This window comes from Homo sapiens, chromosome 1 (assembly GCF_000001405.40).
Source record: "Homo sapiens chromosome 1, GRCh38.p14 Primary Assembly".
In the NCBI taxonomy this organism is placed as follows: domain Eukaryota; kingdom Metazoa; phylum Chordata; class Mammalia; order Primates; family Hominidae; genus Homo; species Homo sapiens.
In genome coordinates this window covers 73,738,874-73,752,560 of record NC_000001.11, presented here as the reverse complement: position 1 = coordinate 73,752,560, position 13,687 = coordinate 73,738,874, and the positions used below count along the sequence as shown (strand labels likewise).

At 31.7% G+C, this 13,687-nt stretch overlaps 1 pseudogene; it reads left to right on the top strand.

Moving 5' to 3' along the window:
* Positions 2,935–3,025, top strand: RNA5SP50 (RNA, 5S ribosomal pseudogene 50; annotated as a pseudogene).

Below are 13,687 nucleotides of genomic sequence, written 5' to 3'. Positions count from 1 at the left end.
AGTATTTCTTCATATTTCTCTTGGCCATTTAAATTTACTCTGCTAAAAAACTTCTGTTAATATCTTTTGTTCATTGTTTTTTCCTAGATGATTTTATTTCAGATCACTTAGTTCCAAATAGATATTAACTCCTTCATTTATCATCTGAATTGCAAATTTTTTAGACTCATTTTATTTTCACTGAAGTTTTGGTATCTTTAATGATGTAAAGTTTTAAAATTGTTATGTCATAGTGTCTATTATTTGTGGCTTCTTTGTTTTCAGTCTTGACTGAGCAAAATATCATATTGTTTATACATGCAACTTTTCTATTTTATTTGCAAGATTTTCATTTCTTCTCTACTTTTCATTAATTCAATTGAAATTATTTCTTTATTGAATTATTTTATTTTTTCTTCCAGATGGAAGTCTATTGTCACAGTACTGTTCAAATTCTTTCATGTTTTTCCTAATGTATTGAATTAGCTCTGTCAATATTATATTCTCATACATGTCTTATTTCTTTTTTATATTTAATTAGCTTTTGTATTTTATTAATTCATTTTTATGATTTTCTTTGGTTTATTTAGTGAAAAGAAAAACTTCATTCCCTGAGAAGGACACTGAATTTATTATTTTGTTCTTTTTTGATAAGCATGACAATTAAAATTATACTTTTATCCTCTAAATACAGGTCTTGCTTATTCTTTAGATTTCTTGCAAATAATTCTCCTTTCATTTCTTACTAGATAGTTTAGAATTTTTATTTTTTGTGTGTATCTTTTACCTAAGTATTATCCGGGAGCTGTTCATTAATTTTACGGAATATTTTGGTAATTAAAAAATAATTCCAATTTTATTGACAACATTAGAGAAAGTGGCCTTTCAAATCTCTATATTTTTCACTAACACTAGAGCTTCTTAAATTGTGTCTTCATCATTAGTTCACTATCTCCTATTTATTATTTTCAAACTTAAATATCACCATGTCTGATATTAATATTGCCATTCTGTTATTTTTAGATAGTACCTGTGTTTTATCTTTTTGCTTTTCTTTATTTTCAATATGTACCAATTAGCCATTGATACAAAATAATCCAATCTATCCCCAAAATTAGTGGCTTAAAATAACGACTGTATATTCTTAAAGAGGCAGCTGGTTGTTGTCTTACTTTGGCTGTTCTACTCATGGATCTGTTGTAAACTGCAGTCTCAGTAGGTGGTTCTGCTGATCTATGACCAGTTTTCTGAAATATTTGGGAATTGGCTATAGGCTTATCTAGGATGGTCTCAGATGGGAAAACTGGACTTTCATTCCGTGTGGATTTTTACCCTCCAGCAAGCTAGCATAGGCTTTTCCATGATGGTGGTAAGGTTTCAATATAGGTCAGAAACATGCAAGATTGTCGATTTTATCAAATTCATTTGGCCAGAGCAAGTCCCAGGAACAGCTCTCCCCTTGATTCTGAGTCCCAGAAACAGCTCAGAATGAAGGAGTGAGGTGATAGACTCCACATCTAGTTCAGAGGAGTTACATAGGAAAAGGGTATAGAAATAACATGGTTGGAAAACTGGAGTTATTTTTGCAGTTATCTCTCAATAGATCTCACTTTACTGATTTGTTTTCTAAGTGTCCTTATGATAAACAGCATTTGTATAGGTTTTAGTTTTTAATTCAATTTGATAGCCTCTGTATTTGTAAACAAATTTAGATTATCGATTCGTTTTTTTCAATTCCCCATTTTTGATGGCTGGATCTAATTGGTTTGTTCTTTCTTTCATTTGCTTTTTTGAAGTTCTCTGACACTTTTTCTTGCTAATGACTGCTTTTGCTTTCTTTATTTTAATGGAACACATAGCATTCTACTATATTTTTAAAGATAGTATCAGTCGTTTCATCTTCGAGATGCATTGTTTTTCCTACTACAATGTTATAGTCCTAAACACCACTCTCAATTAAGAGAAGATAATTAGAATAATTTTACTCCTTCCCTTCTTCCCTTTTATGTCCAGTGAGCTGATTGGCTTGCTTTCCTTCTTTCCATTATTTAGAAATGGTTAAGATTTTTCTGGTAGTAATATTTCCATTTTCTTTTCATATTTTGGTTCGCATGAAAAAATCATCACATCAGATTGGCTAGGTTCAAGATGCTACTTGTGATTGTGCAACTTATGTTTTGCACAACTCTAGAGAACACATTCACCTCACATTCATCCTAGATTTGTACAGTTATAACAGTAAAATTTGGGCAGATATTATTAAAGTGTCTTGAGACAGTGGCATCTTTTTTAAAATTTTATTCTACATTACCATATGGACTAGGGTTGTGCTGGCACAATAGGATAAGGCAATCAGTACAACCAGCCTTAGGTGGTCTGATTACCACAGGACTTTTGGCACTGCAACTACTGAGATGAGTTGGAAGTATAATGAAAGAGAAGAATGTGTAAAATCATTCTTTAGGATAGTGGAAGACTGAATGGATAGCTATGTAGAAGAGATAACCCAACTGAGATTAGGAGTTGTAAATTTAAAATTTAATCAGTCAGCATGGGTATGAGTTTTTCTTCTTCTTTTTTTTTAATCCTCCAGCTATTTTTAGCTGCAGAAGAGCACGCCAGAAGTGAGAAGAGAATTAGATTTAATCAGGGTTGGAATTTTCCAGGGGAGGACAAAGAATTAAAGAGAGGCAAGGGAGCTGAAGATATATGCAAATGAATGATTGTAATGAAGTCGCATGCTAAATTTATATTAAAGCGGATATGGGCATAATTGATAGTAGAAGCCAAATGTTGCATAAATTTTTAAATAAAATACAAACTTCAAGAGAAAATTTTTCTTTTGGTCTTGCTTAGCCTATTATATTGCGGAACTAATAGAGAGCTGTTCACCGTAATGGGATCAAAAGGACTATGGAAAGGAAAGTTTGAGAATTGTGTGAGAAAATCTGTTCAGTCTATGGCCATACCACCCTGAAATGCACTAGATGTCATCTGATCTCGGAAGCTAAGCAGGGTCGGGCCTAGTTAATACTTGGATGGGAGAAAATATGTTCAAACTAAAACTATTAATATAAATTTAATATATTATTGTTATCTGTGATTTTAATAATAATCCAGATAATACTATTTCAAATTTGATCAATTTCAGTGGGTGCATGAAAATATTTTGACCAATTGAAAATTGTGAAACATTTTTACAGCTATAAACTTTCATTGCAGAACATATATTAGTCAAAATGTTTAACTGTTACTAATAAAACAGATGCTTATAATAAATAACAACTAAAATAGTTCTACATTTGAAAGTCATGATTATACAGATAAAGGAAAAGAAAAATTCAGCTACAACTTTTTTAATAAGTTGAAAACATACTACATTTTTTTCCTTTGAAGATTTATAGTTTTCTTACATAGATTTATTTTTAAATTTAGAAATGACTTTATAAAGCAAAATTTAAAATATGGCATGCATAATTCCTACATAGTAAGTGATTTTTTTAAACACATTCTGAATTTGTTTCAATCTAATGAAGTTTTACAGTGCAGACTTGTTCAATGACTATTTAACTTGGACTTATGTCCTTTTTCATCATCTAACATTTATAAAGACAGAGCCTGCCTGAAAAAAAAAATTTAGTCTTCATAGTACTAGAAAGGTATTTTAAAATATATACTCAAACATTTAGTGTATTCACTAGAGCTGATTGCTATAAATATTTTACAGATTTAAAATACAGAATTCACAGAAATAATTTTGAATCTTGGAGAAATTATTAGGAAGTACTACCAATTTATGGTAATTAAATAATTTGTTTAAGTAACCATCAGTAACGGACTATGGATAAAAATGCAGAATGATGGGCACAAAGTAGAAAAACACATGCCAAAGGTAACCAGAAGTTCTGAGAGAGCTAGAGAACTTGTTAAAAAATTTTATTTTCAAAGCGATAAAGAAGGCTTATGTTGTTTCTAATGGATCTGAAAATATAATAATCTTGAGAAATGCTGACCCCGAGGGAAGCTTAGACAGTTCAACTTCTTTTATCTCACCTTTATAGGTGAGAGCCATACTTCCTGTCAAATGGGTTTCTTGTAGAAAAAATGGAGCCACTTTTCTTGGTACATTTCAAATCTCAGTAACAAAAACATGTCAACTAAGTTAGGCTACTCTCTCCTAAGATGTCACATTATTGCTGTATCACTTTTTGTCTTAAATAATGCTCATACTTAATATTGTATTTTCTTGTTTATTGTGAATTATATTAAATGTATAAATAGGTCAGTTGTGGTGGCTCATGCCTGTAATCCAAGCACTTTGGGAGGCAAAGGTGGGTGGATCATTTGAGGTCAGGAGTTTGAGACAAGCCCGGCCAACACGGTGAAACCTCGTCTTTACTAAAAATACAAAAATTAGCCGGACGTGGTGGCAAGCACCTGTAATGCCAGCTACTTGGGAGGCTGAGGCGGGAGAATCACCTTAACCTGGGAGGCAGAGGTTTTTGTGAGCCAAGATCGTGCCACTGCACTCCAGCCTGGGAGCAAGACTCTGTCTTTAAAACAAAATAAATAAAATAAAATAAAATAAAATAAAATAAAATGAAATAAAATAAAATAAAAGTGTACAAAGTATGTAAACATACCTTTACAATCTAAGTAATAGTATAACAATGATTGTTTGCATTGAGATAGGCAAATTAACCTTCATTCTTAAATTGTTTTATATCACTGGTTATTTCCCTGTGTAATTAAAAAAAATTTTTTACAATATCTTTATAATAACCAAAGTAATTTCTTATTTTGTATGCTTTTATCTCAGTTTTTCTTTTAAAACAACTGTTTGTCTATTTTGTTGAAATTGTTAAGGTACAGGATTTTGATTTATTAATTTAATCTATTATTTTTACTTTATCTTATTTTATATTTTTATCTTTATTATATTATTCCATGTACTTACTTTGGGTTTACAGTAGTCTTTATTGTCAAGCACTTTGACTTAGAAATATAAGCATTTATGTATAATTATTTACTTTATATTGATATAGATGTTTAGAGCTAGAAAATGTCCAATTATTGTTGAATGCACTTGTTAAATTCTAACATGTAGTATTTTATTTGTTATTATTTTCAGATACTCTATAATTTCTGTCTGCATTTCTCCTTTCACCAGAGTTGTTTAATAGAATATATTCTAAGTTTCCAGTTGGAAGGGATTTTTTTGTGTGGGGACAAAGAATAGGAATAGGAATTCTTAATTTTCAGTTTTATGAATGGCAGTCACACAGAATGGTTATAATATTTTTATTTTATAGATGGTCATTTTTTGTGGATGCTCCATATAAACTTGAGGAGATGTATTCTTTACTATCTGAATGTAATATATGTTTGGATCTACCTACTTATTTTTTGTCCACTTGATATATCACATATTGAGTGTGGTGTATTAAAGGCTACTATTGTTATTCTGTTTCTTTCTATTTCTCTTTACCATTTTTAAACTTTTGTTTTATGTAAATCATTATTGTGTCATTTGGTGCATATATATTCATATTTTTACTGTGGGTGATATAGTTTAGACATTCGTCCCCATTCAAATATCACGTTGAAATGTAATTCCCAATGTTGGAGCTGAGGCCCAGTGGGAGGTGTTTGAATCATGGGGATGGATTCCTCATGAATGACTTAGGCCATCCCCTTGATGATAAGTGAGCTCTCTTTCTGAGCTTCCAGGAGATCTGGTCATTTAAAAGTGTGTGGCACCTTACCCCGCCCCACCCACTCTCTCTCTCTTTCTCTTCCTCTACCATGTGGGATGTCTGGTCTCTCTTAACCTTTCGCCATGAGTAAAAGCTCCCTGAGACCTCCCCAGAAGCTGAGCAGATGAAGGTGCCATGTTTCCCTTAAAGCCTGCAGAACCATGAACCTATTAAACTTATTTTCTTTGTAAATTACCCAGTCTCTGGTACTTCTTTGTAGCCATGAAAAAACAAGCTAATACAGTGGGACATGGCTTTTAACTTCAGAGTGTTCTTTGGTTCATTTAATGCTTTTGATTAGATTTTGCTTTGTTATGTGTCAGGATTTCAGCCCTTACTTTTTTGTTCTTCCCATTCACCTGGCAAATCTTTGTCCCTCACTATTAGGTCATTTGTATAGATTATAAAATAGGTTTTGCTTTACTCAGCAAATTGCAATTATATTTGGTCTCAATTCTATCATATTATCTTATTTGTATATATTCTGTGTGATTTATATTTGAGTTTATTTCTGTATTTTATATGCCTATTTTGTTTTTAAATGTATTTCTACTATTTAGGAAGGTTTTTAAAAATATGCTAGTAGTTACTTTTGTGTGAATACTACCTTTAGTACCCTTAATTCCCTCTATCTAACCTAACTGTAACCTTAACCATTTGATATGCCAGTTATAAATGGCATTCTTTTGACTCCAACCTAGTTCCTATTAAAAAACTATGATCTTATCCTACTTCTCCCTTTTTCTTCTCTTTTTAAATAATTCTGAATCATTTCTACCTTTTTCAAAACATGTTGTGTTTACATATGTATTTATTAATGACACTAACATTGTTTTAGTCTTAACCGTCTAAATAAATGTTTTAAATAAGAAAAGTATTCATTATTAGTAACTTTAAGAAAGCTTTTCCAGTCACTGTTTTGTTGGATAAAGCTTATCCTTTAGTATAGGTTGACAAACTAAGGCTAACAGGTCAAATTAAGCTTGCTTCTTGTTTTTATAATTAAAAAGTTTTATTGTAATGCATTAATGATTTCATTATGTAATATGTATGTACTATCTGTGTCTGCTTTTGTACTGCAATACCATAGTTGAGTGGTTTTGATAGAGACCAAATGATCCCCAAAGCCTTAAATATTTACTATCAAACGTGTCATAGAATAGTGTGCTAATCTCTGCTTTAATATTCTTCAGGAAGGACACATGTCTACAGTATTCACTGAGTTCTGGCTCCTCTTAACACTGTTTTTCCTATTGCCTTTGCACTTGCTAACAGCCTAGGTGGTTTGTACTGATTTGCTTAAGGTTCTTGAAATTACATTTCCATTGTTGCCTTGTACATTGCTTGTGAGAAATCTAATGCCAGTATAATTATGTTGCTTTGAAAGTTTCATCTCTTGCTTGTTGAATTTTTTTAAATCTTTAAATTCTAGTCATTTTACTGCAATATATATTAGAGATTATTATTCTGGGTCAACATTTGTCAATACCCAGTTGAACTAGTGGGATCTTTCAATGTATAAATTCAGATCTTATTCTTGGAAGTTTTCTTTAAAAGTTTTAATTATTACCTCTGTTATGTTGTTTTGATTTTGTTCTTTAGGGATATCAATTATACATATGATTTACCTTCTTTGCTGGCCTTCCATTTCAGCTATTTTCTTTCTAATGCTTTTTATTTCCTCATTATAATCCTTTTGGTTTTTGTTCTTTTCTATTTTGGCCTTAATTAAATTTTTGTTTAATCTTTTCTCCCTATGGTGGCTTATAATTTAGTTTGTGTTTCTAGTTATTTACTTAATATATCTCATACTGAGAGTATGATCAATATGTTATCTTTCTTTTCTATTTATTTGCTAAATTTAATTCTTGTTTTATTCCTTCCAGCTTTTTCTGTTGTTTTTGTTGTTGTTGTTGTTGTTGTTGTTGTTCTTTGCTTTTGATTTTCAGATTCAAAGTATTTCTTCACATACCTAAAGGCTTGTTTGAGGATATTTAATTCAGTTGGGGTATTGTTTTTCAGTTTTCTTCAATTTTGTGTTTTTTGGGGTAATGAGACTTTGTTAATAGGAAAGTTTTTCCATGTATTTTCTAATTTTTTTGTATTACTTTTGTATGGATGTGGTCTACTTTCCCTTTTCCAATTAATTTCCCATAATGAATTCTTAGTTTGAGAGCCCCACTCAGCAGTTTCTATTACAGATAGTGACGGTGCTTGGGAGGTGGTTGAAGTGAAGTATTAATGATTCTTGTTTCACTCTTTTTTTGTCTCTTAGTTTCTTTGTTCCATTTATTTCCATACCTTTTTCTTCCATATATATTCCTCTCTTTCAAAATTAACATTTCTTGAGCTGCCACTTCTTGTTCTATACACTTTCAAGTCCTTTTTCTAAAAGGAAATTTCATCTGTGTTTAGTACTTTGGGATTTATTTCAATTAATCTTATGGGGAAATCTTAATATGTCTTTTGTTTAATCCATTCCTCTCTGCTCTTTACATGGAATCTCTTAAGCACTTCCCACCCAACCCAACATATCCCACATTCTCAGAGATAGTAGGGAACTTATTTATAGGCTATTTGAAAGTTGATATGTACTCTGTTAGTAACACTAAAATTGTGAGACCTATCCAGTTCAATTTGCTTGCATTGTTCCCATTCCTTGGGAAATATTAGGGTATTTGTTAAAAAGGCAGATCAACTGAATGAGATGGGTTGCATAATTCTGAATTTTAATAAACTCTCCAGTAATCAAACTGAAGTTTTAGATTCATTAATACTTGAACTAACTTGTATCATAATACTATGACATACTGATATGTTTTGGCTGTGTCTCCACCCAAATCTCATCTTGAATTTTAGCTCCCACAATCCCCTGTGTCATAGGAGGGAACAGAGGAATGTAATTGAATCATAGGAGTGAGTTTTTCCCATGCTGTTCTCATGATAGTGAATAAGTTTCTTGAAGTCTTATGATTTTATAAAAGGCAGTTCCTCTGCACATGCTGCCTTGCCTGCTGCCATGTAAGATGTGCCTTTGCTCCTCTTTCTCCTTGGTCCATGATTGTGAGGCCTCCCTAGCCATGTGAAACTGTGAATGCATTAAACCTATTTTCTTTGTAAATTACACTGTCTTAGGTATTTCTTAATAGCAGTATGAAAATTGACTAAAACACATACTCTGTGTAGCAATGCACCACTATGTAGGTGATTATGGATGAATAATAAATTTCATCTAACAAAACTTTTCTATTTGTTATTACACATTTCCTCTCATAAATCTGAGATCTAAAATACATACAAAACATCCATTTTAAGTCGAGGGTACAAATTATTTTCACTGTGGTCACTACTGGAATCAAGTCAATTTAAGGAAACCAAAGAAGAGGAATAAATGAACAATGCCTTCAGAACACTGCCAGTGGCCGTAAAGTGTTTTTTCTCCCTATGTTACTTTGCTTAATAAATAAATCCCTAAAAAGAGAATTTGAATAGAGTATCTTGATTTGTGTGCCTGTCCTTGAAAAAGTGAAGGTAATTGGAATAGATGAATAAAATTTGACAATCCCAGTAGAACCACAGAAATAGTAAAACAGAGTTCTCCAGTGAGAAAGCAGAATGTTGCTACTGAAAAAGGAGAAGAGATGTTGGCTAGACATAAATGATGAATGTCTATTATACAGATTTACTATTCAGTACAATCAACACTTCAGGAATATATGGTTTAACATTGAGTTATCTTGGCAACTATGAACATATATCACACTGTATATCATCTTTAACTTATCGAAATGATTGGATTCTGAAGTCAAATTCTCAAGATTCACACTTAGTAAGGTTTTTACTCCGTGAAGAGTTTCAAAGATTTTTATCTAGCAAAAATATTATTAGGTATTACATATAAATTTATTTTTACTTTTAAACTTTATTTTATACATGGTCTTACTATGTTGCCCAGGCTGATCTTGAACCTCTCCTGTCAAGCATTCCTCCTGTCTCACCCTCCCAAATTGTTGGAATTACAGGCTTGAGCCACTGTGCTTGGCAGTATCAAATTCTAAGAGTAATTTCAAGGATACAAGAAATCAAGAGGCTAGAAGAAGCATGGAATGTTTTTGGAGATTGAGGGCTATTCTGAATATTTCTTTTCTGCATGGAGGCACCCTGTTGTCTCAGAGTAGATAAGGCCTCCAAGTGAGGTACTAATTTTATTACCTCACATAGCAAGAAGTGTTCAGTCTTTTTATAACAGAGAAGTGATGACATTTTCCGGAGATCCACATCTTATAATGCATAAATTCTAAGTGTATTCGTCCATCCTTGCATTGTTATACAAAAATAATGGAGACTGGGTAATTTATAGAGAAAAGAGATTTAATTGGCTCCCACTTCCACAAGCTGTATAGGAAGCATGGTTGGGAGACCTCAGGAAATGTACAGTCATGGCAGAAGGGGAAGGATAAGCAGGCATGTCTTACATAGCCCAAGAAGGAGGAAGACAGTGAAGGGGGAGGTGCTACATACTTTTGAACAACCAGATCTTGTGAGAACTCACTCACTCTCAGGAGATCAGCAAGGGGGATGTCCGTCCCCATGATTCAATTACCTCCCACCAGGCCCCTGTTCCATATTTGGGGATTACAATTAAACATGAGATTTGGGCAAGGACACAGGTCCAAACTTTTAGTTTATCACGAAACTGTTTCTATAAGCAATTGCCAACCAGGCATGTTATGTTAGGAACGTTTCTCAGATATACCTCCAAGTAAACCCCCCTACTACTAAATATAGCTATTCTATATACTCGGAGGTCTAATAATTATGTTAACAAGAAGATAAATTAGAGCATCTGCCTTCTTTTCTTTGTCTCAGGGATGTTCCTCTGATAAGAAGGAAAGAACAGCCTAAAAATCAGATCCTTTAAGTTCTTTTTTTTGGTAAATTGACAATATGTAATTGTATAAAGTTATGGGGTACAAAGTAGTGTCATGTTTATGAATACATTGTAAGTAATTAAATCAAGCTAAGGAAGATATCTATCACCTTAAATATTTAAAAATTTTGTTCTGAGAACATGGGAAATTTATTCTCTTAGCAATTTTGAAATGTACAATTGTCTATTATTAACTATATTCACCATGCTGTGCAATGGATCCGAAAACAAACATATTCCTTTTCTCTGAGATTTTGTACCCCTTGATTATCATCTCCCAAATCCTTTAAATTATTTTCTGCATATTTTAAATAGCTTCTGAAAATGATTGAGTTAGAAATGTAGAGATATACTTTTCTATAACGATGCTTTAAACTCTTGGAAGACATTTCTGCTTGGACTGCCCTGTCTCCAAATGGCCACTTGGCACTTTCACTCATTTATTCTAATTATTCAAATGTTACCTTCTTAGTGAGGTCCCCAGTACTACTCTATTTAAAATGATAAACCCCAAGATATTCATTTCCTCCTTTCCTGTTTTATTTTTCTCCAAAGTACTCATATCATTATTTAAAGTACTACATATTTTACTAGTTTATTTTGGTTTTCCTTATTTCTCATTCTTAACCCCACCATTAGCTTGTAAGTTACATGAGAATAGGTTTTTTGTTTTGTTTTTTGAAATCTGCTATAAAACTAGTGCATGGGCTGTAGTTGGAATGCAGAAAATATTTGTTGATTATAATGAAATGAATAAATTTTTCTAAAATCTATTTACTCTTCAATTCATTAGAAAGTAGGTGTAAAATGAGCTCCCCATTATATATTAAATTTTAGTGTTTGGCACCTTTTTTGAGGAATTTACTTCCATCTATTATTTTATAATAGGAACATACTTCCTTTTAAGATAATCATTCCTTATTATAAAGGCAACTAAAACTTCGATGACTTTGTTTACATATTTGGAATATGTAGATTACATAGCGTTTCTTTTGTCTAATATGTTTTTGAGATTCATCCATGTTGTTGAATGTAGCAGCAGTCTGTTCCTTGTTTTTATTGTGGAGTGGTGTTCAATTGTATATATAAACCATAATTAGGTTATCTGTTCGCTTGTTGAGAAGCATCTTTATTGTTTCCAATTTGGGGCTTTCATGAACATTGACTTAGAAATTTTTTTGTGAACATATATTATTGTGTCTGTCAAGTAAATGAATTTCTGGGCTATTTAATTATTAAATGCTTAAATGTATAATAAATTGCCAAAAAATTTTCCAAAGTGCTTATACCATTTTATGTTTCCACCACTAAATATTGAGCATTCTAGTTGCTCCATATGCTTGTCAACACTTTGTATTTCTAGTTGTTTAAGTTTTCCTTATTTAGTGGGTGTGTATTGCTATCTTATTGTTAATTTAATTTGCATTTCCGTGAATACTAGAGGTGTTAAGCATTTATTCATATCCTCATTGGTTATATGTATTTTTTACTAAGCATTCGTTCATATTAATACCCTGTTTTTATTTAATTCTGATTTTTTTCTGAGATACATTCTCATGCTGTTGCCCCAGCTGGAATGCACTGATGCAATGATGGCTCACTGCAGCCTTGAAATACCATACTCAGGTGATTCTCCCACTTCACCCTCTCCAGTAACTGGGACCATAGGCACATGCCACCATGCCCTGCTAATTTTTAATATTTTATTGCACACACAGGGTTCTCTCATGTTGCCTAGGCTGGTCTCAAACTCCTGGACTCAAGCAACCTGCCCACGTCAGCCTCCCAAAGTGCTCTTATTATGGGATTGAGCCACCATGACAGTCCTAGCTTATTTTTAAATTGTTATCCTCTTAATGAAAATTCTTTATATATTCTATTTACAAATCCTTTGTTATGCTGTGAATATTTTCTCCCAGCGTGTGACTTGATTTTTAATTTTTAGAAGTGTCCTTGGAAGTTCAGAAGTTTTGCATTTTGATGAGGTCCAATTTATCATTTTTTTCTTGTATTAATTTTGGTGACTTACCAAAATGGGTTTTGCCTAGCACAAGACTCTAGGGATTTTTTCCCACGTTACCACTAAAAGTTTTATAGTTTTGTTGTTTATGCTTAGGTATATAATCCACTCTGAGTTTTGTTTTGTGTTTTTTTTTTTAAGGTGTGAGATTACAATAAAGATTTAATTTGTTTCCTAATGTAAGGGTGGTTTTTCCTGTATGATTTGAATTAATTGACCATAAATTGGTAAATTAATTTGGAAAGTTAATTGACCATAAATTTGTACATTTATTTCTAGATTCTAGCCTTTTCCACTGATCTATGTATATCTTTATGCCAACACTTCACTGCCTTAATTACTATGGACTTAAATTGTGAAATTACATAGTGCTTTTTATCCTTTTCTTTCTTACTTTAAAGATTGATTCTGCTATTCTATTATGTTTATATTACCATATAAATTGTAGAATAAATTAATCAATTTTAACAAAAATTCTGCAGAGATCTTGATTGAAATTGCATTAGATCTATGTATCTGTTTAGAAAAAAAGTCAGGTATTAAAAATATTGAGTCTTCCAAATCATGAACTTGACCTACTTCTTCATTTATAAGATTTTCTTGAGTTACTCTCATTAATATTTTGTTGTTTTTATTGTACAGATTTTGTACACATTTTTAAAATGTATGACTAAGTATTTTATTGTTGATGTCACTTTAAATGACATTGTTTAATTTTCAAATTATTTATTGCTAATATATACAAATACTGTCTATGTTTGTATATTGAACTTATATACTAGTAAATAACTACATTTACTTTGTTTCAACAATTTTGTTTTGTAGATTCATAGTTTTTATGCACAAGATCATGTTTTTTGATGTGAGTGATGGTTTTTCTTATTTTGCCATCTATATAATTTTTATTTATTTTTAATGCTTTATTAATCTGGTTAGATCTTCCAGTATAACGTTGAGTAGATATCTTAAGATTGGAAGTCCTTGCCTTATTACTGATCTTAA